Genomic DNA, 25,673 nt, shown 5'->3' on the forward strand with positions numbered 1-25,673 from the left:
TGGGATCTTCATTACTAGAAAGCGTTCTAAAATATCACCAAAACCTATTCATCAAGACAGTTCAGTTGTAAACCAATCTGGCAACAGGAAGAACAAGAAGGACTTCGAGTTTTCTCCACTTCCTTTTAGAGAATTATAATTAAGGTATGTTTGTGTTACTATATACGCTTCAAGAACTTGCATTGAATAAATATCCTGTGTACAAAAACAGGAATGAACCATCCTTATTTGCAGAACTCTGAACCAAACCCATATACTATTTTTTCTTCACTAAACCAAAAGCTTTAACGAAAACATCCGAAACAAACTGATCTAGAACTATGCTCATTTAAAATGTTTGAACTAGAATAGCTACGTCTTCTGAGTTAAACCTAAAGTGAACTAATATTATATTTAAGTACGTTTGAAGCTCTCCCATAGGCCCTATATAGATTATTTGTATTATGTATGATGTCTTTAGCTGGATATTGTCTCAAGAAACTATATACCCACAATGACTGCAGATAAAATCTGTTTTATAAACACAAAAGACTATCATAAACACATCATAATCCATGTTAAACTACGCATCATGATCTAATGAGCCAGGAAGTCTGAAGATTACAGGTTAGCTGGTATACAGAAATAAGGGTTACCCCAAAACTCAGCATATACCTTCTTCACTGTGGCTTAAGTTACCATATTAGAAATGCTAACCGCTCCAACGACATTTTCACCTAAGAGAACCTGTCTCGCACCCCCAACCTCAGCAATGGGATTTGCATCTTGTAAATTCATCTTGAACCACAGCTGATTAGATCAGACCTGAGCACACCCTCCGCCCCTCAATGCACAGAGAAGCATTCCATAGGCCAGACCGAACCAAATTCTCTGTCTGACTCCATTTGATCTAAGAGACACAGCAGCAGAGTCAGGTGGTAGCTAAAGCTCACGGATGATGCAGCACTGGTGTCAGTGTCTGTAAATCACTGCCGCTGAGGGCTCAGGGGCAGCCCTGCTCCCTGAGTTCTGGGACCACAGCTTTTCTTTTGGGTTCCAAAAATATTTTAGTTTTCTTGTAGCATATTTTTACCTGAGATACTTCAAAAAAATTTCTGTTCCTCACCTTTCTGACATTCTCTCAACTCCCTTGCTTTCTCACCTCTACCCATGCTCACCTCGGTGGTAAACCCAGGGGAAGAATTACCATCCTGTTAATGGAGGGAAGAATAGGCCAAAACCATCAGAACAGTGCCAGATGCTAGATATCAGCAGTGAAGCCACATAAAGAAAGACAACCCATGGGGTCAGAAATCAAGGGGATGTGGACAGGCTTCAGAGCCAAGCCTGTGAACATATGGCGACCTCGGAGGCCTGTTATTCAGCTATGCCATCCGCTTGGTACAGGGCAGACCTGGTGGGCCAAAGCAGGGCTTTTCCCACTTTAATGTGCACATGAATCACCCGAGATGCTAGTGGAATGCAAGTTCTGATGCACTAGGTCAGGGGAGGGACCTGAACATCCGTTTCTAACAAGCTCCCAAGTGATGCCAAACATGTGGCTTTGGACCACACTTGAGTAGCAAAGGTGTAAAAAGCTTTGCAGGATTGAATTGTGCAGCAACAATAAAATACATGATGGATAACAATAAGCAATAAAATAATAATAACATAAATAATTAACATATAAATAAAATAATTAACAATAAACAACAATAAAAGAACCTCCATCTTCAGGTGGTGATGGAAAATTATGAAATCTCCAGGTGATGGAATTACTGGACCCCAAGTCTCTCTAAGTGCTGTACACAGCATCAGTGATTTATGTTATAGTTGATCGCTTCTTCAAGCTGAGAGTAGAGACACTAGAAGCTCATGGTGAGGCAGATATGGATGGAAACTGGAGCCTCCATATTCCATCAAATAGGTAGGCAAAGCTTAGAATGCCATACTTGGCACTGTGACCAGCCCCCAGATATTAGCCTTTCTGAATACATAACTGCTATATGAAAACTAAACTTGGGTCAGACCAAGTCTATGCCATATATTTCAGGAACAATTTGCAAAGTATCTTTTACTGTCTTTTCTTGCTGACTAAATATAACCTGCCTATACGGGTTGAGCATCTCAAAATCCAAAAATCCAAAATCTGAAATGCTCCAAAATCCAAAACATTTGAGTGCCAACATCACATCCAAAGGAAATGCTCATTGGAGCATGTTGGATCTCAGATTTTTAGTTTTGACGAGTGGATAAAGAAACTGTGGTATGTATATATGATGGAATACTACTCAGCCATAATAAGGAATGAATTAATGGCGTTCACAGCAACCTGGATGAGATTGGAGACTATTATTCTAAGTGAAGTAACTCAGGAATGGAAAACCAAACATCGTGTGTTCTCACTCATAAGTGCGAGCTAAGCTATAAGGATGCAAAGGCATAAGAATGATACAGTTGGCTTCGGAGACTCGGGGGAAAGGGTGGGACAGGGGTGAGGGATAAAAGACTACAAATTGGGTTCTGTGTATACTCCTCAGGTGATGAGTGCAACAAAATCTCACAAATCACCACTAAAGAACTTACTCATGTAACCAAATACCACCTCTTCCCCAAATGGAAATAAAAATTTAAAAAAAAAGATTTTTAGGTTTGGGATACTCAACAAATATAATGCAAATATTCCAAAATAGAAACACTCTGGTCCCAAGCACTTCAGCTAAGGAAAACTCAGCCTGTATGCCTAACTTAACTGCAACAGAGATCCTTCTTTCTTTGATTAGACCACCTGGCTACATTCTTAGACGAGAGAACTCACTGGTGCTGGTAGGTGGAGCTCCAAGATGGAAATTCATGCCTAAAGAGTTTGGTTTGGGCTACTGAAAGCCTTTTTGCTGTGTGTAACTGAGGAGGAAGTAGAGATTAATTTGGCTCATTTTCAGCCCAACTTATTTCCAGACCGTGGAATCTATCAGTGTAAATTTTAAGTCTGGGAAGGCTGCTTTTTATTTAAAAGACAACACTGGAGGTGACGGTGCTTTTAACTATGCAAATATAATGAAGCTCCCAACTTAGTAATGGTTCACTTAACCTAAAGTAAACTGAAAAGCCAGGCAGTGAGCCCTGTGCTTTATTGACTGAAGGCCATATAATGAATTTCCTTTTAAAAAGTGCATTTCATGTTGCCTTTATTTACTGATTTCTCACGAATAATCAACTTTAACCATTTTTAACTACTATTTTAACCATTTTAAACATAGTTGCAGAAACTTCTGATTCAAGGTGATAGACTGACTTCATATTTTCATATCCTCTCTCTCCATAGGCCTCCAGGGGAAGGTAAATGAGGTCATTCATTTATTCACTGCTACAGCATCAGGCACAGTTCTGGGTAAAAGTATCATGGTAATAGGCAAGACAGATAAAGACTATTCTCACAACACTTGAACATCCTAGATGAGTAGAGGTAGATGATAAACAGAATATGAACCTGAAATTACTGAGACTGAGATAGGTATTATGACCAAAGTGAAACAGGATGATTTTATAGAAAGTAAATTGGCAGCCATATCGTCAGGGACATTTAAGCTAAGACCTCAATGACAAGAAAGAATTAGCCCTGTAAAAATAGGAGGCAACAGCTATGGTAAAATCATTAAAATGAGAATGTGCTTGACCTTTTTAAGAAATCAAAAGTAGGCCCGTGTGATTGAGCATACTGAGAGAGGGGAAGAATAAATGGAGTTGAGAAGAAAGATCAGGGCAGATCATATGTGGCCTGTAGGAAGCCTGGAGTAAGAAGTAGGAGCACATTGTATAGGACCATGGCCCATGGAGACCACAGAAAGTGGGGACCAGATGGCATAGGCCCATGGCCCAGGGTAAAGTGTTTGGATTTTATGTTAAGAAAGCAGAGAAGTCCTTAGAGCATTTTAATCAAGGCTCAAAATACCCTTATTTGTGCTTTTAAAAGGGCATTCTGTGCAGAAGAATTCCAAGTTATTTATGTGGATACTTTGCCCTCAACGTAGTGGAACACAACTCCCTACTCCTTAAGTGTGTACTGGACATAATTACATTCTTCTTAAGAGTACTATATGGAAAGGATGGGAAAAGTAACTTTACAGTGGAGAAACCTGAAAACACTACCTTAGCCAGATGGTCAAAGTCAACATCAATGGTGATAAGTCATGTTGATAGTATATACCTTTGATATGATGTAATAAGAATGATACTTTACCTCGTCGTCTCCCACTCCAAAATTCATAACTTCAGTCTAAACATGAAAAAAAATCGGACAAATCCCAGTGATGGACATTCTACAAAATACCTGACCAGTACTCCTCGAAGTCATCAAAATAAGAAAAGTCTGAGAAAAAAATCCAGCCAAGAGGAGCCTAAGGAGAATGATGACTAAATCTAACGTGGGATCTTGGGTCAGAAAAAGGACGTTAGGTAAACACTAAGGGAGTCTGAGCAAAGTATAAGTATGAGCTTTAGTTAATAATAATGTACCAGTATTTATTCATTAATTATGACAAATACACCATACTACTATGTTAGTAACAGAGGAAATTGGGGGTAGGATATATGGGAACTTTCTGTACTATCTTCACAATTTTTCTGTAAATCTAAAACTGTTCTACAATTAAAAGTTTATTTTAAAAAAGTCTATTCTAGCTGCCATGTGCAAACTGAACTCTGGAGCACAAAAACAGCACTTTCTCATTCTAGTATCCCCTGGGTCCCTGAAAACCAGATTCTTTGTATTTTAAAAAGGAATTACAGATATAAGATAGAAGAGTTCATACTAATACTTGCCATTTAAATCCAAGACTACAGAGCTTTTACATAATCTGCTCTACCTCAGGCTAATTGGAGGATTGTTCTCTACAGAAATAAATGATTACAGGGCAAAGGTCTCTGAATTCAAGCATTTTTGGAACTCTCAGAATAAGAGCCAGTTTCATGCCTGATGACCCTAAAAAGAAGCCTGCCAATCAGTAACCTGCCTCATATCAGGTTCTTAATAAGTTTCAAGGCCTTACCCTTAAAATGTGTGGATAGCCAAGAAAGATGAGACATCCAAGGAAAGCCTTGGACACGGAAGAAAGAACCAAGAAAAACACAGGGAAAAAGCATAACACCAGAAGGAACATATAATTCAAGAAACAAAAGAAAACTTAAAGGAAAATAAATTAATGATTATCTTCGGGGATATTTGAGAAGATATTGCATGATGAAAACATAACAGAATGCTATGAAAAAAATGGAGGAAATAACCCTTAGATATAAAAGATATATTTAATAATAACTGAAATAAAGAGTTAAGTTCAAATAGTAAAGAGTTAAGTTCAAAGACAAATTTAGAATTATCTTTCAGAAAGAAGTATCCCAAAAAAGAGATGGAAAATATAACAAAAATAATTAAAGGTTATGGATTATCATTCTAGAAGATCTGACATCAGACTAATAAGAGACCGAAAAGAAAAGAAAACAAGGAAAAAAATGATCAAATGAAAAATATGAGAGAATTTCCAAGATCTAAAGTACAGGGGTGCTCATACTTAGAAAATCCAGCAAGTGCCCAGCCTAGTAAAATAAAAACATTCACAGCAGGTTGTGAAATGTCAGAATATTAATTTTTAAAAAAATATCTGAAAATCTTCCCACCAGAGAAGCTTCCCTGGTCCTGTACAAGAAACAAAATACCACACTAGCCTCAAGGTTTCTCATGAAGTTAGAAGACACTGAAGAAGGGACTCAACATTTCTGACAGAAAACCATTTTCACTTATCATTCTATACCTAGCCAAACTGTCAATCAAGTGGGAAACTAGAATAAATACATGTTTAAATCTACACAGGCTTGGAAATTCATAGCCCACACCAGTTACCATAGGAGATGACTTGATGTGACCCAGAACAAAAAGTAAAGGAAATCAAAGAAAGAGGAGGCTGCCCTGAAGCCTCAAGTACTCAATGGTGCAGTAAGAAACAAAATACAAGAGTTGGGATTTGTAATTATAGAGTAGCAAGATATTTGGATCCTAGAACTCAACATCAAGGCCAGATGGCATGGCTTGGAACACCCTGGTTCCCTCCTTTGAAAGGGGAAAAAGGCAGAAAGCCTGCCGTTCTAGGGTTCCCTGACCAGTCAGGTCACTTACCCTCCTGGCTGCTGGGACCCCTAGATTTTTACGAGAAACAAGGGAAGCTGTGAGGTGGGAGATGGAGGAGGTGAAGCTCACTGATACCATTATATATCATTAATCTCATGGGCAGCCTTTGAAATAACACTAAACTGAAGTCAATGTAATCGTGCCCAATTCTAGGTTGTCCTCTTTCCTTGCCTTGCCTGGACTGGCCTTTGTGGTCTGTCCTAGCTCACATGGGATTCAGACAACAGTAGATCCAACCCAGAGGCGTAATGAAGGAGGATCCTAATGAGGTAACTGTGTGGCAGGCCTAAGAACAAGCAGTCCAATTTGCTTCAGGAGGATAAAGAACTCCAGGAGGGAGGGAATTCGGGGGCAATTAGTATCCAAGGGATTTAATAGTATTCCTGAGAATGTCGAATTATTTAAGAAGATGACAAAGAAGACGTCCTGAAAAACAAGGAGGAGTCAGAGGAAGAAAAGTGAAAAAAAAAATGCATTCATAATAGGTAACATTTATGTAGCACAAACTACAGACAAGGAGCCACTCTAAGCACTTGATGTTTATTAGCTCCCTAATCCTCATAACAATTCAGAGACAGGCACTATTATTATACCCATTTTATAGATAACGGAACTGGGGCACAGAGAGGATTAGGAAGAACTTGCCAAAGGCCTAAACTTAGTGAGTGGCAGAGCCAGGATCAAATCCTGGCAGTCTGGCTCCAGCACCTGAGTGCCACGAACCACTACCTGAGACCGGAAGCACAATACCCTACCTCGCTGTGCTGGGGACAATATTTGAACACAACAATAAGTCCAGGCGTGGTGGCTCACGCCTGTAATCCCAACGCTTTGGGAGGCCGAGGTGGATGGATGACTTGAGGCCAGGAGTTCCAGACCAGGCTGGCCAGTATGGTGAAACCCCGTCTCTACTATAAATACAAAAATTAGCCAGGAAAGGTGGTGCATGCCTGTAGTCCCAGCTACTTGGGAGGCTGAGGCAGGAGAATCACTTGTACCAGGAGGCAGAGGCTGCAGTGAGCTGAGATCACACCACTGCACTACAGCCTGGGCAATAGAGTGAGACTCTGTCTTGGAAAAAAAAAAAACAAAAACAAAACACAACAATGAAAGCACTGTTTATTGATTTTCATCTTTTAGAATAAACATAACCCCCAAATCATTGTGTTTTCAAAACACAATGTTCTGGCAATGTAAAATTAAAGGACAAGTGGCAAAGTTGGGAACAGGAAAAATAGAAAAAGTGAGGAAAAAGGTAAGGGTGCTGGCATCTTAATCGTACAAAATAAGGAATTGAGAGATACTGTCTCTAATTTGTTTGCACACTTATTTCCCGTCTCCCTACAACCCTGATGTCAGCCCCACAGGAGCAGAGACCTTGTTCATCTTGTTTGCTGTTATATTTCCAGCCCCCTACAGGAATACAAGGCATGTACCTGAAGGCACTCAATAGATATTTGTGGAACGATGAATGAATGAATGAATGAATGAATGAATGAATGAATGAATGAATGAATGGAATAATAAGATTCTGAGAATAGCATTTAAATTTATAAAAGTAACAAAGAGGAAATAAAAATACTGAAAGAATTTTATTAAGAAGGAGCTATGGGAGGTGTGAACAATGGAAGTCATCTAAATCGTCACCTATCATAGCAGAAAGTCAAACAGAATCTATATTTGATAAATTAGGAAATGGATATAGGCATATCATCGTCCCTCAGGATCCTTCAGGGACTGGTTCCAGGACCACTGTGGCTACCAAAATCCTCGGATGCTCAAGCCCCTTATGTAAAATGTATGTAAAGTATAAAAAATGTATATAAAATATTGTATAAAGTGTACTTCCATATAACCTACACACATCTTCCTGTATACTTTAAATCATCTTTAGATTGCTTATAATAACCAATATAATATAAATGCTCTGTAAATAGTTGTGATTCTGTATTTTTATCTGTATTATTTTTATTGCTATATTGGTTTTTTAAAAAAATTGGATTCTTTTCTGAATACTTTTGATCCACAGTTAGTTGAATCTATAGATGCGAAACTGCAGATAAGCAGGGGAACTATATTCTTCAGGAAAAAACACAGATAAATAAAAAAGAATTAAAAAGAAGAACATTAAAATTCTTAATAGTGACAGTGTTTGGATGTGGGATATGGATGGAGACAGGTGGGGCAGGAACTGCTTGCTTTTATTATAAGCTCATCGAGATTCTTTTTTCTCTATGTGCATGTATTACTCTGATTTAAAATACAACTTAAAAACAAATATAACCACAACATTCAGGACTTCTCCAGCACTTTTCCACGTTAACTTGACTTTAATCAATCAATTCTGTAAAACCTGCCAGGTAATTTAAAATAGATGCAGCCTTCTTTCTGTCCAAAATCAATCCTATAACCCCCTAGTCAGAAATATCTCCATCAGTTAACTGCTCTGTCTCATCTTCAACCAATTATTTTCTAGTGACTCTCCTCAGCTTATAAAACATGCTCAAAACTCTACTACAAACAAAATGGGAAACCCTTCTGCCTGCACCCCTTTCCATCTACCTCCTGCCCATGGCTCTCTTTCCCTTCAGAGCTGAGCTTGAAAACTAGTTGCCCTCCTTGTCTCGATGTCCTCACCTCCCACGATGCTCTCATCAACACTTTGCTTTCTACGTCGGGCCCATTTTCCCCTGATTTGCTCCCACAAAAATGGCTGGACCTTTATTGCCAAATCCAGAGGGCAGTTCTGAGTCCCCCTCCTGGTTTTTTTTAACCTCTCTGGAACATGTGCTACTGTGAGCCCTCAGGCTGCTCAGTGGGACCCTTTTCCTCCAGTCACTGCAGTTCTGCAGGTCACATGTTCTTTATGTTCTTCCTCTGAGCAGTGTCATCTTCTCTTATGGGGTCCATGGTCCTGCCTATCTAGTGGTGGCAGCCAACTCTGTCTAGCTCCCTGGCCTGTTCCCATAAACAGGTTAACATAGTTTTTTATTTACTCACACATCTAAATTTCTTTCTCACATTTTAGTTTTAGAAGATAGGTTTTGAGGTGATTGTGTCCTTAAAGCTCTCTTTCTTTGGAAGTACTCCCACTCCCAGCCTCCACCGGTAGGTTCCGTCTGGGAAGTCATGTTGGATCAGGTGACCCAGCCCTGTGGCCACAGCTGATAGGACCAAGGACAGACGTCAGACGGAATATGGGCTAATCAAATTCCTCGCCTGAGATTGGTGCCATAATAAGGCGAAGCCTGTGGCTGCGACAAGTTTAAATTATGAGTACATTGTGAAGTGACATCCAGAAGCTGTTTAAGAGTTAAGAGCTGCAATTCTAAAAACAAACTGCCAAGGTTCTCATGTCAACTTTACACACTGTGTGACCTTGGGAGAGTTACATCAACTCTCTCTTACTTTATTTGAGCTAACTTAGTTGTCTTTCTCTTCCAGGCTCTTAACAAATACTTATTGATAATAAGGTTTATAGTTAGTATTTTAGGGGGTACAGTAAAGTTCTCCTTGGTGATTCAAAGACACTTTTTAACATAGAACCTGGGGGAAAAAAATCAACTTCCATAAATTATTCATTTATGGAAATCATAAGCCATGGATCTTCTAAGAAGTTAATGTGGGTTTTCATAGTCATTTTCTTCATCTATTGAATGGGTATATTACCAACCCTGGCTGCTTTCAGACAACTCTGGAAATGGCAAAATGTTAAAAATAATAACAGCAACAACAATGATAACAAAAGCGATCACAACAAGCACTTCTTTTACGCATATTATGTGCCAGGTGCTGTCCTGGGTGCCTTACATATATTACTTTAAGTTATTCCCACCACAACTAGAAGGTAGGCACTATTATTATCCCCCTTTTACAGACGGTGAAACTGAAGCACAGGGAAGTAACTTTTCCTCAGCCACAAAGTTAGTAAGAGCTGGACCTGAGATAAGAACACAGGCAGTTTGGTTCTGGAATCTTTGCCCTTAACTCTTAGATACCCCCAAGTCACTTGACAATTTGTGATGCATTCCCTCAAGGATTGCACCACATAGCCAAGGGGTGCTGTTTGGGAGATACAGGTCTTACTCTTAATCTGAAACAGTCTTTATGAAAAACAGAAAGTGATAAAAATTTGTTAAAAGCTTAAATGTGTTGATGACCATGAGGAAGATCTCACAAAAATGTCAATAAACCCATTCTTATATCAGCAGTATATATAATACGCTATGTTATGTACATGCTATATATCAATCTCTACATCTGGGATAATATGTATCCATCCCTACATTGAAATAATACAGCATATCAATACATACTATATGTGTGTGTGTATCCACAAATACATACATACATACACACACTGTTAATAATCAGTGGTATTTTTAATTCTAAGATCAGGTAATGTATTAGAGCACTGGCTAAGCTGATATAACAAGGAAACCTCAAAATATACTTATTTAGGAGAGAACTTCCCTCTCACATAAAGATCCAGATATATGTGGTGCAGATCTGGTAGAAATGCTCTGGTTGTCTGGGATCTGCTCTGCCTGCCACCTTCCCAATATGTGGCTTCCATTGCTGGGTGGAAGTGGATGTTACTCCCACCTTCGCCCTCTCCCAGGTGGCAGGAATTAGGAAAGGAAATGGGAATGCATGGCCAGCTCTTTAAAGGCCAAGATTCACCCATTAGTGGTGTACTTCAATTCTGTTCATAGCCTATTGGTCCAAATAGTCACATGGCCACACCTAGTGGCAAAGGGGGCTGGGAAATGTAGTTTTTAGCTAGATGGATGGTCACATGCCAAACTAAAAAGATTTGAGCAAACACTCAGGAATCCACTACAGCACAATTATTACAATTATTTTATTTTCTCATCTCCTAACGATAATAGCAAAACTCATTTCTCTTATTTAATTCCTTTAAGAATAAATTCAGATGAGGGAAGAAAACATTGATTTTAAAGGAGTTCAGAGACATGAAAATGGGATAGTGAAATATAAGGCTTAGAGTTTTTATCTTTATTGGAGGACCTCTAAATGAAGATTATGTTTGGCCACATCTCTGCAATTCAGTGATTTGTGTCTCTCCCTGGCTGCTGTCCCTCTCTGCTTCTAGAATTCCTGGCCCTTCTCTGCTTCTAGAATTCCTGGCCCTTCTCTTCTCCAGGGCTATCCAGCCACATCTGGTTGGAGAGAAAAGCAGCAGACACCCCCAAGAGAAAACTACAGAACTTTCCATAAGGTTTTGATTAGATTGGAAAGTATCCATTCCTTCTCTTCATTTCTTCACAGCAGATCTCTTTTTTCCCATTATGCTAATCAACTTAGTTTTATTTTCATCTTTAGAGCTGTCTATTTTTTCTCTGTCTCCACTTTCATGATTTCAATCACTCAGCCTTCTTTTTTTTTTTCATTTTCTCATTCCCTCATCCATTCTTTCTGCTCACTCATTCATTCATTATCCATTTTTCCACAGCTTTGGTTGCCATGATTAATTTTATTAATATTCATTTCCATTTTCTCATTTCCTTGCCCATAAAATGAACATCTCTAATTTACTGTGTAATCTTTTCTCTCATTCACTACTTTATTCCTGATCTCATTTGTTAGATTTCCTCATGCCTGGTCCATTCTTCAACTTATTTTACCCATTACCTCATTCATTCTATGTCACCTTTCTTCTACTTTCTTATCCCTGCAATTGATCCTCATGTGCTTTTTGCTATTTTCTCATTTTATGCATTCTTTCCCCATAATCCTGAGGTTACATTTCTTTTACATCTATATTTGGCATTCTATTATCTACTGTCTTAGCTTTTTTTCATTTACCCTATCTCAAGTATAACCATAAAGCATAAGTTACTCTTTTTTAAAAAACTGGGTCAAAATTTATTTATCTTTATCCAAAGTAGTAAGACAGACGGCTTAAAAGCTAAAGCTAAGCCCTCTTTCACAAAGATTGCCCAAAATATTTGGAGACCTTCATAAGGAAACATTGTCAGAGATCTTTACAAGCCACCTTCACAACCAGTTTCAAACCTTTATGGTCCTATCTCATTTTTGTTTCCAAATAATATTCATCAGCTTGATAATCCACCCATATACCAAAATGTATTTTTTAAATTACTATGGAATGTTTATAAAAATTTATGTCTATACTCAAACATTGACAATGGGCTACCAGAAAAGAATATAAAGATGATACATATGAAGGAAAGCCTGAAAGTGAACTACCAAGAAGTATTTGAGCACTGGCGACATGATTGGAATAAAACTACAGCATCTTGAGATGACTGCTCTGAAGAAACCGGCACTCTTTGGTTGGCATATAAAACAACACAATAGATGCCTAATACATGTTCCTTTCTTTTTTCTTTCTAGTGATTGTTACAAAAATCAATCAGTCTCACTGCTTTTACTCAAAACTTAAATTTGGCGAAGCACAGTGACTCACACCTGTAATCTAAGCACTTTGGGAGGCTGAGGCCAGTGGGTCACTTGAGGTCAAGAGTTCAAGACCAGCCTGGCCAACATGGTGAAACCCCGTCTCTACTCAAAAAATACAAAAATTAGCAGGGCATGGTTGGGCGTGCCTGTAGTCCTAACTACTCGGGAGGTTGAGGTGGGAGAACCACTTGAACCTGGGAGGCAGAGGTTGCAGTGAGTAGAGATCACACCACTATACTCCAGCCTGGGCAACAGAGTGAGGCCCTTTCTCAAAAAACAAAAAAAAAAACAAAACCAAAAAACCCTTAAATTTGCTTTTCCTATTTTTTTATTGCTTTTGGTTTTCAATGCAGATTCATTGGTGTTTTTTTTCTTTTTTTTCTTAAGGGAATGGGAGAAATCCAAGAATTTTAAAACACATGATAAAATGAAGAAATAAGACAATGAAAAAAGACATCAATTTCTTTTTTTTCTTTCTATTAATTCTACAGTTTCATGAGCCAGGTATTTAATATTTTTCTTGATCACTTCATTTTCATTTGTTAATCTCATGGTTTTTAAATCTGTACCTTCAGCCCAGATGTATCCCTTGAACTCCTGACCTATACAAGTTGACCCTGATATTCTCACATCATGCTTCCCAAAGACTTTCACAAATTGCCAAGTGTGTAGAATGTTACTGCAGGGCCTTATTTTCCCTTCCCACAGTAAGTATAGAGCTACAAAGCAAGTTGAAGTATAGGTTCCAGGAAGTAGACCACAAACTTGATCACTGGTAAAGTGGCCCATTCTTATATTAATATATTGGCCTAATCACATAAGATAAACTCTTCCCATGTCAATTATGAAGAATGAAAATCCCTTGCAGCTTTTTCTCACAATGGGAACTAAATTCTGGGTTGTTATCACACAGAAAAAAGAGAAGAGGTGTATTCTAGGGTCAAAGAAGCTTAGAGAATTAAATATTTTTCTGGAGGACTTTTTAGAGCTTTTAATATGCAAATATACATTGCAACTATTCAAGAGGGCTATAATATTTATTCTTTCTATTATAACGAATATATATCACATAGACATGAATTCTCCATCTCATTTTCCATTTGCAATGCCTTTTATAAATCTCCTCTTTTGTCCAATTATGTATCTCCTCATCTATTCTAAACCTGTGTTTCATTTTCTGCCTGTTTCTCACCCCTCACTTTATTTTACTGCTATTATATCACTCTTATTTGTTACCTCGTCTTCATTTTCTGTCTATGTGTGGCTTTGTTTCTCAGTTTCCTGATTTCTTTCTTTCTATTTTGAATCAATTCTCCCTGCTATTGTCTGGGCTCTGCATGTCCCTCTGCTCCCATGCAGAATTTGAGAACAGAGAGGCAGCCTCTGGGGTGACCCACCCTGTCAGGGCACCCTGTCTCAGTCAGATCTCATTTTCTCTCTCCTCCCAGATCTGCACCTGCAGCAGTCCAGGAAAACATAAAGCCAGTTATGAGCCAGAGGCCCAAGGACAGCTGTTGATCCTGAAAATGGTTTTAATTTGTCTCTGTCTCATTAGCTTAATGCTGATGCTGGTGGCCCCCAGGCTGCTGACCAAGCTCAGTGACTTTCTTTTCAACTTGGCCTGCAGCTTATTATCAGGGCCATAGATGAAGCTGACAGCTCAGGCAACCTTCCCTTTGTGACCCTGGCCCTGTGTGTCTACTCCCCAAGGACTTTCATTCATTTCTGGGCCCACAGTAATTAAAAGCTGGAGGGGAGACCGTCCTCATTGGCATGACAGGCAAAATCACATAAATAAATGCTTACAGTGCAGAAACCACCTTGTAAATGTAGGGCTCGCTTTGATGACCACCTGGGAGAATTATCCACCTGACACATGCTGCAGTGAATAGGAGTCCAGAGGCTGAATCGTCATAAATTGCTTTCAAAATCGACCCCAGAAGACCATCCATAACTAAGAAAGACACAAAGCTTGAAGAAATGTTTTTCTTTTCAGTAAATGATTTAAGTTGCCACATTTGAAAAACAGAGGGTTAGGTTTGAAATTGATCCAGTTAAGAATCTATTCAGGCAGAGTGCAGCAGGTAAATCTCTAAGACAAATAACAGTGCTGTCTCCTGGCCTGAATATCAATTTCTTGATAATTTTACCATGCAACATGAACTTCACCTCATTTGTATTTATTACGATTGATGCCCTCTGTGTCTTGAGACGGTGAGTGGCAGTGACCTAGGAGAACTTGCTGAGTTGGGAGATACATGAGTTGTTTTGCCTAGACCCCATATGCATGCTATTCTACACTCAATGTCTGATCAGTTCTGAGCTGATATGTTCGTCTGGGTTTCATGAAGGGATCCAGTTCCTGGGCAGAGGTTGATGAGGGTAACAAACCCATTCCAGCCCATGTGATAGTTAATTTTAGGTATCAACTTGACTGGATTAAGGAATACCTAGAAACCTCATAAAGCATCACTTTGGGTGTGTCTGTGTTTACAGCGAGGGTGTTTACAGAGAACATTGTCACGTGAGTCGGAGTGGACTAGGTGGGGAAAATCGGCCTTTAATGTGTGTAGGCAACATCCAATCCACTGGGGTGCACAGAAAACAAAAACAGAAAAAAGGCAAATGTGGGCGTGGCATGGTGGCTCATGCCTGTAATCCCAGCACTTCGGAAGGCAGAGGCAGGTGGATCACTGGAGGTCAGGAGTTTGAGAGCAGCCTGGCCAACATGGTGAAACCCCGTTCCTACTAAAAGTACAAAAAATTATCTGGGCATGGTGGCGGGCACCTGTAATCCCAGCTACTCAGGAGGCTGAGGCAGGAGAATCACTTGAACCCGGGAGGCAGATGTTGCAGTGAGCTGAGGTCATGCCATTGCACTCCAGCCTGGGCAACAAGAGCGAAACTCCGTCTCAAAAAAAAAAGGCAAATGTGTCCATGTGTCTATTAGAGCTGGGATAAGCCCTTCCTCGCCTGTCCTTGGACAACAACTCCAGACTTTCTCGCCTCTGGACTCCAGGACTTATACTAGCATGCCCCACAATGGGCCCCTGCCCTGCCCAGTTCTCAGACCATTGGCTTTCCTGTTTCTGAGGCCTTTAGACTTAGACCAAGCCATGCTGCCAGCATTCTGGAGTCTCCAGTCTGCAGAGGGCCTCTTGCAGGATGTCTTAGCCTCCATAATCGCATGAGCCAATTCCCCTAATAAATCCTCTCTCATGTATCTCTATATGCATCCTATTGATTCTGCCTCTCTGGAGAGCCCTAACCAATACAACCTAATTAAGATGAAACAAGCCTAGAACTTCACCTTCCCCTCCCTGTTCCAGAGCCTCTAGTGGTCACTTTCCTTTACCAGGATCCCTTCTCCTGCCCCTGCTGCCCCCAGGCTGCCCACCCTGGAAAGCATCTCATCCATTCATTCACTCAAACAGTATTCGGTAGGTGCAGGCTGTGTCAAGAACTAGGCTACGAGGCCTAGAGATGTATAAGTAAGGGCTTCCACCTTACAGGAACTCATGGGTCAGAAGAGAAGGACCTGAGAAACATGTGGTGATCATGGAAGAGGAGGGAGCCATAGTGTTTGGGAGCCCGGAGGACAGTGTTACCAGGGCAAGGGAAGACACGGGTGGGAGGTCCAAGGAAGCTCTTGGAGTCTTCCCCTTCTACAGCAATCTGTCTGCCTTAAGTTGCCCTGCCCCCAGACAAGCTGTCAACCTCCTGAAAGCAGAGCTAGGTGTACCCTGCCCATGGGGCATCCCCAGGGCCTGGCAGGGGCCTGGCAGGTACCTGGCATAATACCACACTTGCAGTGGGTTTTCAGGCTTATTGATGAATTAATCTATGTAGGACTTATGTGGTCCTTCAAAGACAAAACACACTGAATTCAGGAGATGGAAAAAGGGAATGGGCTATTATTATTTTGCCTTATTTAAATCATTTATGTATTTGAGTAGCTAATATAGTCACAGAGTTCAAAAATCAAAACAATATAACAAGAAATACATTAAGAGGTCTTACCTCTACCCTGATTCCCACCTATTCCTTTTCCCACCCCATCATACTCACCTCAGCCTCCTATGAGTTATAATTTTAGTTTTTGGTATATTACTCCAGTGTACCCTTATGCAAATAAAATCACACACATAGTTTTTCTTATTTTTACTCCTTTCCACACAAATGGTGGTAACTGAATAAATTTGCTTTTTTCTTTTACTCAACAATATATCCAGGAGCTCTTTCCCTAATAGTACATTGAGAATGACTCATTCTTTTTTACAGTTGCATAGTACTCCATGGTACCTTATCTGAAACTCATTTTAAGCACCTGTATTTGACTAGCCCTTTTCTCCTCCCCCATCACACCAAAACTTGCCCTCAAGACACTAATCTTCTTTAAGTGTCTAATTTAATAAAACAATCATGACAGTGCATTCAAAAAATGGCAGGGTGTGTTTATATGTATACTTTGTAAAACAGGCCATGAGGGCAAATGTCTCATTTCAGAGGAGTCAACTCCAAAGGAAGCAAGTGGAGAAGCATCTTGGTGCAGGGACTGTGTCTCCAGGCTATTCATATTCTTAAAAGGATCCCCCCATGCTTAAGACACTGAGGGGCTGAGCTCATTCTGGTTGAGGAAAATCGATCCTGTGGTGATTGTTGCAGGTTCTGCAGGCTGCTGATAAAGGAACTATTCGAAGTAGGTGCCCTGCACACTTTCTCAGCAATCTGGCACTCTGTCAACAGATGCAATCCTGGCTGGTGGTGACCCAGGATTTTTCTTGGCCACTTTGCTAACCTGGGACCTCCATGGCTGTGGGAGGTGCCCTGCCCACTCGGCCTGCTGGGCCATGCCTGGCTTGTGCATCAGCTCAGCCCACAGCTGGGCCAGGCGTGCCTCAGCTCACCTGTGTTATAGCTTGTACCTATGTTTGGCGGTTCCCAAATTCTTGTCCCGCAACCAAGAAGAATGAGGTTATGCTGATAATTGAAGGGTGAGGAGGGCAGAGAAGAATTTTATTCAGTGGCAGAACAGCTCTCAGCAGAGAGGGGATGCAAGGGTGGTCCCCCACCTGAAGCTGGGTGGTCTATCTGTGTGCCTGGGTCTGGGGCTTTTATGTGCTCAGAATGGGAAGTATGTGCTGATTGCTTTGCAAAACAAGGGTAAGACAAAGGCACCACTCTAAGGTGGGCACAACAGTGTAAAAAACCAATTAGAGAAAGGTACATATATGTAAAATAGATGAAGAGTTGGGATCAATCAGAGGAAAGCATGCCAAACAGGAAGACAGGTTTCTCAACCTTGTCTGTGGATTTAGACAGGACTTGTAGCTAGGCTTTACAAGCTGTCTTTGGTTTGAAGGTGGGGTTTCACCAGGGACCCGCCCCTGTCTGCCTAGGATCTGTCTGCCTCTTGCCACTATCAGTAGGAGGGTAGGGGATGGGTGCTTTCTGGTCCAGTCTACCCTCACTGTTCCAGAATGTAATAAGATTGTACCAATACTCCCTTAACCTTGTTTTCTCCCTTAACTAAAAACTTTCTTAAAATTAAACCAGATGAGATTATAGGTAATAGCATATTCGATTTTGCCTAATTCCTTCCAGCCAAACTGCAAGTGTGCAGCATATAAGATCTGAAACCTGAGCTGAGAATAAAGCCAACATTTTTATGTTAGTAATTATTGCTGACTTGTTTTTTAGCTTTTAGTATTCTAGGCAGCTCTGCTGCTTTGTGTGGCTGCTATTTTTAGTCATCTTTTATCTACGATTTCTCCCATCTTAACACGTCGGTTTTTCATTTCCACAGTTGAGGAGCTCAGGTATGTCATTCTTCCTGCAGAAGGACATGGGCTGTATTTGTATGTGTGAAAAGACCAGCGATGCCACCCGCCCTCTTGTTTTGGTTGCCTTAATGATGATTGTGGATTGTTATAGAACTGATGGGTCTGCAGACTCTGGATCAATAAGAGAGATGGTCAAAATGACCAAACTGGCCAGGTTGTCTTGCTGCTCATTCACCCTATTCCAAAATGGCCAAAAACTCGATGATGGCTGGGGCAAAAGGACACTTTGAAGGTTGTAAACTGTAAAAATTCCCTGCCCCAAATCAGCATGGGTCTTGGGCCATTCATTCTCACTGGAGGATTGAAGTACTTGAGAAAAACAATTGTGATTTCAAATGCTGAGGCTAGAAACCCTCCTAAAGAGGGCCTTTGTTGTTGTTGATCACCCAATTAGACATGAAAAACCAGGCTGCAGGGCAGAACACTTCAAAGAAGAAAGCAGAACAAAGAAAAGGCTACATTGCTCTGCACAGAGAAAAGAAAAAGAAGATTCGGCCACCCAGAGGAGTCTGAGCTTCCTGGCAGGAGGCTGGAGGAAGGAGAGAAAGCAATGGCTGGCCAGGTGTTCCTGGGGGCAGGAATATTTGGGAAATATCTAATGTTCAATTGTAGGTTGTTTTCTGGGCTGCAACTCTTTTCTGTTGCCCCTCGCAAATCTTCAATAAAATCTGCTATGAACATTGCCTGTGTCAATGATATTATGGGGAGAGGTGGGAAATGGAGTGGCCTGTGACACAAGGTGATGGGGTAGGAAGTAGAAGCCTCCTCCCACAGCCGTGGAAAAACAGACCTTAGGCTGAGGGTGCAGTGGAAGGAGAAGGTCTGAGCCATTGTGCAACTGATATACATAAGCCCTTTGAGGATTCCCAGAGGTGTCTGCCAGGACCCTGGATTTCTCCCTTTATATGGGCTGGTGGCTCAAGCCATTGTAGTTCAGTATTATAGAAAAAGGTAGCACCATAAATATGAAAGAATGCCAAACCCCAGGTTGCCAACTTCTCACTCAGTAATAAGTATAATTGAGGTTAATTTATACAAATTTTTAAAGAAAAGAATAGCAAGATGTTCTAAGTCCAAGTAATAACATTTTTTCCTTAGTATAGGTCAACAGGAAAAATGTAGCAGAATCAGGGTGCCACAATCTTGGGAGGGCAAGGAATACACACTCACACACACACACACACACACACACATGTATATTTTTATATATGTATGTACATAAATACAGCTAAACTTAATTTGTTTCCATTGAGAGTTCCCATTCATCTTAGTCAATCAGTGTATACAAGGTTGCATCTGAGCTGGGAGACAGAGGGTGAGAAGGGAAAGGACAGATATGCCAACCAGGTCGCACTGTGGCCACTCTACATTCTGACCTGGGAGAGACGCTGGGTTTCCCTCGAATCTTTGATCATTCATTGGTCCATGTGATTGGCAGCTTCCTTCATGCTCAGGCACAAGGCCCTTGCAGGTGCAGCTTTTCCTGAGCTCCTCTGTGTCCTCACAGGCTCTCAAGAACCTTTGCTGTTTGGGGGCCACATTCCCAGGGAGGGTGGGGAACACCATGGATCTGCCTAAGACCATTCATCACCTCTGGACCCCTCTTTGGTGTATGCAAAACATTCCATTATTTCCTTGTCACGTGGAGGCACAGGGGCTCAGATCCAACTCTTTAGGTAGTTGCACGTGGGAATGAGGCTGCAGATCTGCCCTGCCAGCAGCTCCTTCAGACCATCTGGTGGTTTTGGTTTATTTCCCCCACCCCAGTGGGGATAGAAGCAGGCCCTGAGTTTCCTATCTCAGATACCCCCTACTTATAAGCATTCCTCTCTTCCCCTTCAATGGTGCAACTCTGTGCACTGGGGGCTCTTCAGGCTTCCTTGCAGGAAGCCACATTCTCATGTTGTCAGATATTCTCCCAGATCTGCAGAAATAAAACGTCTGAAACTCAAAAAAGCTGCTGTTACCCTGCAAGGCACCTCTTCCCTAAGACAAAGGTCAAAGAGACTGTCACTGTTTCGCCATCAGTGCCTATCATTGGGAGTTAACTGCCAGTCATCAGGTGGAGGATTTCTCAGATCACCTCCATTCAAGGACAAAAAGCTCAGTGCTCCAGGACGCCATGAACCCAAGGGTTTATTAAATGGTGGAATGAAGAGAAAGCACTTGCAATTCTCTGCTACTGAGAATGAGGATGATTTCTTTTTTATTCTTGAACTAGAAAGAATCTAGCTCCTTCTAAACTGTTTCCTTTCATTATTATTATTATTATTATTATTATTATTATTATTATAAGTTTTAGGGTACATGTGCACAATGTGCAGGTTTGTTACATATGTATACACGTGCCATGTTGGTGTGCTGCACCCATAAACTTGTCATTTAGCATTAGGTATATGTTTCCTTTCTTAAGACTGGGTTTTTTTTTTAGTATTCAAGTGCCTTCTACCTTAAGACCTTTTATTCATATCAGACATTCTGAACCTGAAATTTGTGAGCTCCCTGAAATAATGGAAAATTGTCTAGATGACTTTCTCTGAGATAAGCGGCCATGATTTTTTATCTGCTTGTTTGTTTCATTCTTAAAAATCAGTTTCTTCAAAGAATTTGTGATCCAGATAAGGGTAAGAACTATTCCTCCAAGCCAAGGTCATAAACCTATTTTCTCTTGACTTTTGTGCTTCCCCTTGACCATGCTTTGAAGCTCAGAAAATACTTAAGATCTGTTTAAATGAAAATTGTCATTCTGTGCACTGAATTAAAGCCTTAAAATATGCAAACTTTAGCCTGTTATCCCTTCCCACAGGTTCAACTTATGACAGCACCTTATGGTTTTGAGGTAAAGCTGGATGTGACATCTGTCACCTCTTGATCACAAGGTCTTGGCACAGGTCTGCATCTCCTGACTGTTCTAGATGATTGCTTCCCGAGACTGGACATTTCATCTTCAATCACAGGGTGCAAGGAGCTCAGCTCCTCCCCTGTTCAAACCTCCAGAAGCTTACCTTCACATAGCTATTTGCACAGGATAAGGCTCTTTTGTATGCATTTTATCATTTGATCCTCACCATAACTCCAGGCAGATATTCCTGGCCCCATTTTATAGATGCAGAACTGAAGCTTAGAGAAGATAATGACCACTCCACGGTCCTGCCAGAGCTCATGCACAGCAGGGGGCTGCCTACAACTCTTTCCAAGATTGTTTTTAATTAAAAGTAATATAAGGCCGGGCGCACTGGCTCACACCTGTAATCCCAGCACTTTGGGAGGCCGAGGTGGGCAGATCACGAGGTCAGGAGATCGAGACCATCCTGGCTAACACAGTGAAACCCCGTCTCTACTAAAAATACAAAAAATTAGCTGGGCGTGGTGGCGGGCGCCTGTAGTCCCAGCTGCTTGGGAGGCTGAGGCAGGAGAATGGCGTGAACCTGGGAGGCGGAGCTTGCAGTGAGCTGAGATCGTGCCACTGCACTCCAGCCTGGGCGACAGAGCGAGACTCTGTCTCAAAAAAAGAAAGAAAAAGAAAAAGAAATTAAAGTCTCCGAATAGGCCGGGCATGGTGGCTCATGCCTGTAATTCCAACACTTTGGGAGACTGGGGCAGAAGGATGGCTTTTGGCCAGGAGTTCAAGGCTGCAGTGAGCTATAATAGTGCCATAACACACCAGCCTGGGCAACAGAATGAGACCCTGTCTCTTAAAATATACATATATAAAATTATATAAATATTTATAAATATTAAATATTTATATATTTAATATTTATATATTATATATGTATAAATATTTATATATTAAATATATAAATATATAAATGTATATATAAATATATACATAAATGTATATATAAATGTATATATAAATATATATAAATGTATATATAAATATATATAAATGTATATATAAATGTATATATAAATATATATATAAATATATATAAATGTATATATAAATATATATATAAATGTATATATAAATATATATATATATATATATGGCTGGGCACCGTGGCTCATGCCTGTAATACCAACACTCTGGGAGGCTGAGGCAGTTGGATCACCCGAGGTCAGGAGTTCCAGACCAGCCTGGCCAACATGGTGAAACTCCATTTCTACTAAAAATACAAAAAATTAGCTGGGCATGCTGTCAGACATCTGTAATCCCCAGCTACTCAGGAGGCTGAGGCAGGAGAATCATTTGAACCAGGGAGGCAGAGGTTGCAGTGAGCTGAGATCATGCCAGTGCACTCTAGACTGGGTGATGGAGCAAGACTCTGTCTCAAAATAAATAAATAAATAAATAAGGGCTGGGCACGGTGACTCACGCTTTTAATCCTCATACTTTGGGAGACCCAGGCAGGAGGATCACTTGAGGCCAGAAGTTCGAGACCAGCCTGGACAATATGGTGAAATCTCATCTCTACTAAAAATACCAAAATTAGGCCAGGCACAGTGGCTCAAGCCTGTAATCCCAGCACTTTGAGAAGCTGAGGTGGGTGGATCACGAAGCCAGGAGTTCAAGACCAGCCTGGCCAAGATAGTGAAACCCCATCTCTACTAAAAATACAAAAAAAAAAAAAAAATAGCCAGGAGTGGTGGTGGGTGCCTGTAATCCCAGCTACTCAGGAGGCTGAGGCAGAGAATTGCTTGAACCCAGGAGGCAGAGATTGCAGTGAGCCAAGATGGCGTCACTGCACTCCAGCCTGGAAGACAGAGTGAGACTCCATCTCAAAAAAAAAAAAATACAAAAATTAGTTGTTAGTTTAGTTGCTGCCTAAAAGCAAGACTAGGCTCTCATGGAGGTACAATGGGGCCGGACGCGGTGGCTCACGCCTGTAATCCCAGCACTTTGGGAGGCCGAGGCGGGCAAATCACGAGGTCAGGAGATTGAGACCAGCCTGGCCAACATGGTGAAACCCTGTCTCTACTAAAAAAAAAAAAATAGCCGGGTGTGGTGGCTCATGCCTGTAATCCCAGCTACTCAGGAGGCTGAGGCAGGAGAATTGCTTGAACCTAGAAGGCAGAGGTTGCAGTGAGTCGAGATTCAGCCACTGCACTCCAGCTTTGGCGACAGAGCAAGACTACATCTAGGCGGTGTCGGGGGGAAGAAGTAAAATGGACAGCAGCAAACCACAGGTGTGATAGGAGAGAATACTGAGCTGAGATCAGTCTCCTAAAATTTGAATCGGATTTCAGGATCATTCATTTATCTGACTGTCAAGAATGCCTCTGAACAGGAGGAAGAATTTGGGGAGAGGGTGGGGTTTGTTGAAAGGGCACCGAGAAGGGAAGGGGGTGGTACCCAAACAATTTGTTTACATAATGTTTTTTGGACCTAAAATATGTAGAAAAGTACTTTGAAACTAAAGTACTGTACTGAAGTTTAATATTTTTCTTATTGCTTGCCTATTCTCCCTCCCAGATAATTTACAGAGGGCACTAAAGCTGATCCCCTGGGAGCTTCAGAGTTTAATGACTTCGCCTGACGATTTCCTATTCTTTTCCACAAGGTGCTAAGTCAAATTATGGCCAAATTACCAATCGCATGGTAATTCAGCTTCTAAATATATTTTGTAGAGTGTTTCCAAAAGTTAAAAAAAAAAAAAACTTTACCTAAATTGTTTTTACTTGCTTCACCTTAAATCAGTTATTCGGTTCCTTTGAAGAACATGTTGCTTTAGCAACCCCCAAAGTGAACCCAGATACCCAGGACTACTGATTGTTACATCAGAGTTTTTGAAAACGCCAACACTGGAAACAGGCCGACAGTTAAGGAGAGGCAGGCCTCAAACTAAAGCAGAACCTTCTCAAAACTACTTATATTTCAAGAGATGGATTAAGCGAAAAGAGCTGTACAAAGAAGCCATTGTCTATGCGCCTGTTATATGCAAGGCACTGCACTCCCTTGTCACTTGTTAATTTACAAGAAGACTCGCGGGTCCAAGGAAAGGGAGAGGGGAACAGGTGCAAGGTTTGTGGAGGGCGGCAAACTGCACTCCACGTGCCGCGGGGCTGCGCTTGCGAAGACCAGGGTTCTGATGCCTGGCGCCGGCTGCCAGGTAGGGGCGCGCATCCTGCGCAGTTGCCGCGCGCGGCCTCCTCCAGCTTCAGGCCGGGCCAATCAGGAGGCGGGCGGGAGGGGGCACGGCGCCGCGAGGGGGCGGGGCCGTTCGGGCTTTGCTGTCTGCTGGCCAGCTGGAGTCCAAGGTGGGCGGGTCACAAGGTCAGGAGATCGAGACCATCCTGGCTAACACGGTGAAACCCCGTCTCTACTAAAAATACAAAAAATTAGCTGGGCGTGGTGGCGGGCGCCTGTAGTCCCAGCTACTCGGGAGGCTGAGGCAGGAGAATGACGTGAACCTGGGAGGCGGAGCTTGCAGTGAGCCAAGATCGTGCCACTGCACTCCAGCCTGGGCGACAGAGCGAGACTCCATGTCAACAACAACAACAAAAAAAAGTAATATAAGGCATTCATTTTTGTTTCACTGCTCTAGCATGAGTTGAATTGTGTCCCCTCAAATAATCCATATGTTGAAGTCCTAACCCTCAATACCACAGAATGTGACCCTATTTGGAAACAGGACTGTTGCAGATATAATTGGTGATAATGAGGTCAGGCTAGAGTAGGGTTGACCCCTAATAAAATATGACTGGTTTCCTCATAAGAAGGGAAACTTTAGACACAGACACATACAGGGAGAATGCCATGTGAAGAGACAGGCAGAAATCAGAGTGACGCTTCTATAAGCCAAATACTGTGCTGGACCCATATTAACCTCAACAGGGATGGCACCAGGTTCAAGAAGTTGAAGAAGAGACCCAGAGCCAGCAAACGAGACCCCGTGAGACACAGAGTTTTATCAGCTGGAAACTTACATACAGAGCGGTTCCATGGTGGTGAGCTGGGCGGGAGAACTGCCACTGCTTGTAAGAAGCATGCAGTTTACATAGCATTTTACCTTAGCACCCTCCCCCTAACTACCTGTACCTGGCAACCTTCATTTAACTCAAAACAAAGAGCCTCAATCCCCTGCATAGCCTACATTTCATGGGACAGGCTTGGGGGACAGTCCAATGTTCCTCACGGATAAGGAATAAGTCTCTGGTTTGGCCGCTCCTTAGATTCCTTAGATTTTGTAACTCCAAACACACATTCAGGCGCATCTGCCATGTAGGCTCATTCTCAATGTAAGCTTAAGTCAAGTTATCATTGTCAGGTGCATCTA

At 41.4% G+C, this 25,673-nt stretch overlaps 1 long non-coding RNA gene across 14 annotated transcripts in view, besides 3 other annotated features; it reads right to left on the reverse strand.

Annotated features, from left to right (window-relative positions):
- LOC107986777 (uncharacterized) overlaps positions 1 to 25,673 on the reverse strand; it is a 303,857-nt gene that overhangs the window by 267,118 nt on the left and 11,066 nt on the right. The window lies entirely within an intron of this gene.
- Positions 18,255 to 18,826: an enhancer, noted in NCBI's record as "OCT4-NANOG-H3K27ac hESC enhancer chr7:24466273-24466844 (GRCh37/hg19 assembly coordinates)". NCBI's record gives its function as "activates a minimal SCP1, AML or CMV promoter by ChIP-STARR-seq in naive and primed H9 embryonic stem cells {active_cell/tissue: H9 hESC(naive and primed)}" and the evidence as "EXISTENCE:reporter gene assay evidence [ECO:0000049][PMID:30033119]".
- Positions 18,827 to 19,397: an enhancer, noted in NCBI's record as "OCT4-NANOG-H3K27ac hESC enhancer chr7:24466845-24467415 (GRCh37/hg19 assembly coordinates)". NCBI's record gives its function as "activates a minimal SCP1, AML or CMV promoter by ChIP-STARR-seq in naive and primed H9 embryonic stem cells {active_cell/tissue: H9 hESC(naive and primed)}" and the evidence as "EXISTENCE:reporter gene assay evidence [ECO:0000049][PMID:30033119]".
- Positions 24,512 to 25,070: an enhancer, noted in NCBI's record as "H3K27ac-H3K4me1 hESC enhancer chr7:24472530-24473088 (GRCh37/hg19 assembly coordinates)". NCBI's record gives its function as "activates a minimal SCP1, AML or CMV promoter by ChIP-STARR-seq in primed H9 embryonic stem cells {active_cell/tissue: H9 hESC(primed)}" and the evidence as "EXISTENCE:reporter gene assay evidence [ECO:0000049][PMID:30033119]".

This window comes from Homo sapiens, chromosome 7 (genome assembly GCF_000001405.40).
Source record: "Homo sapiens chromosome 7, GRCh38.p14 Primary Assembly".
Lineage (NCBI taxonomy): Eukaryota > Metazoa > Chordata > Mammalia > Primates > Hominidae > Homo > Homo sapiens.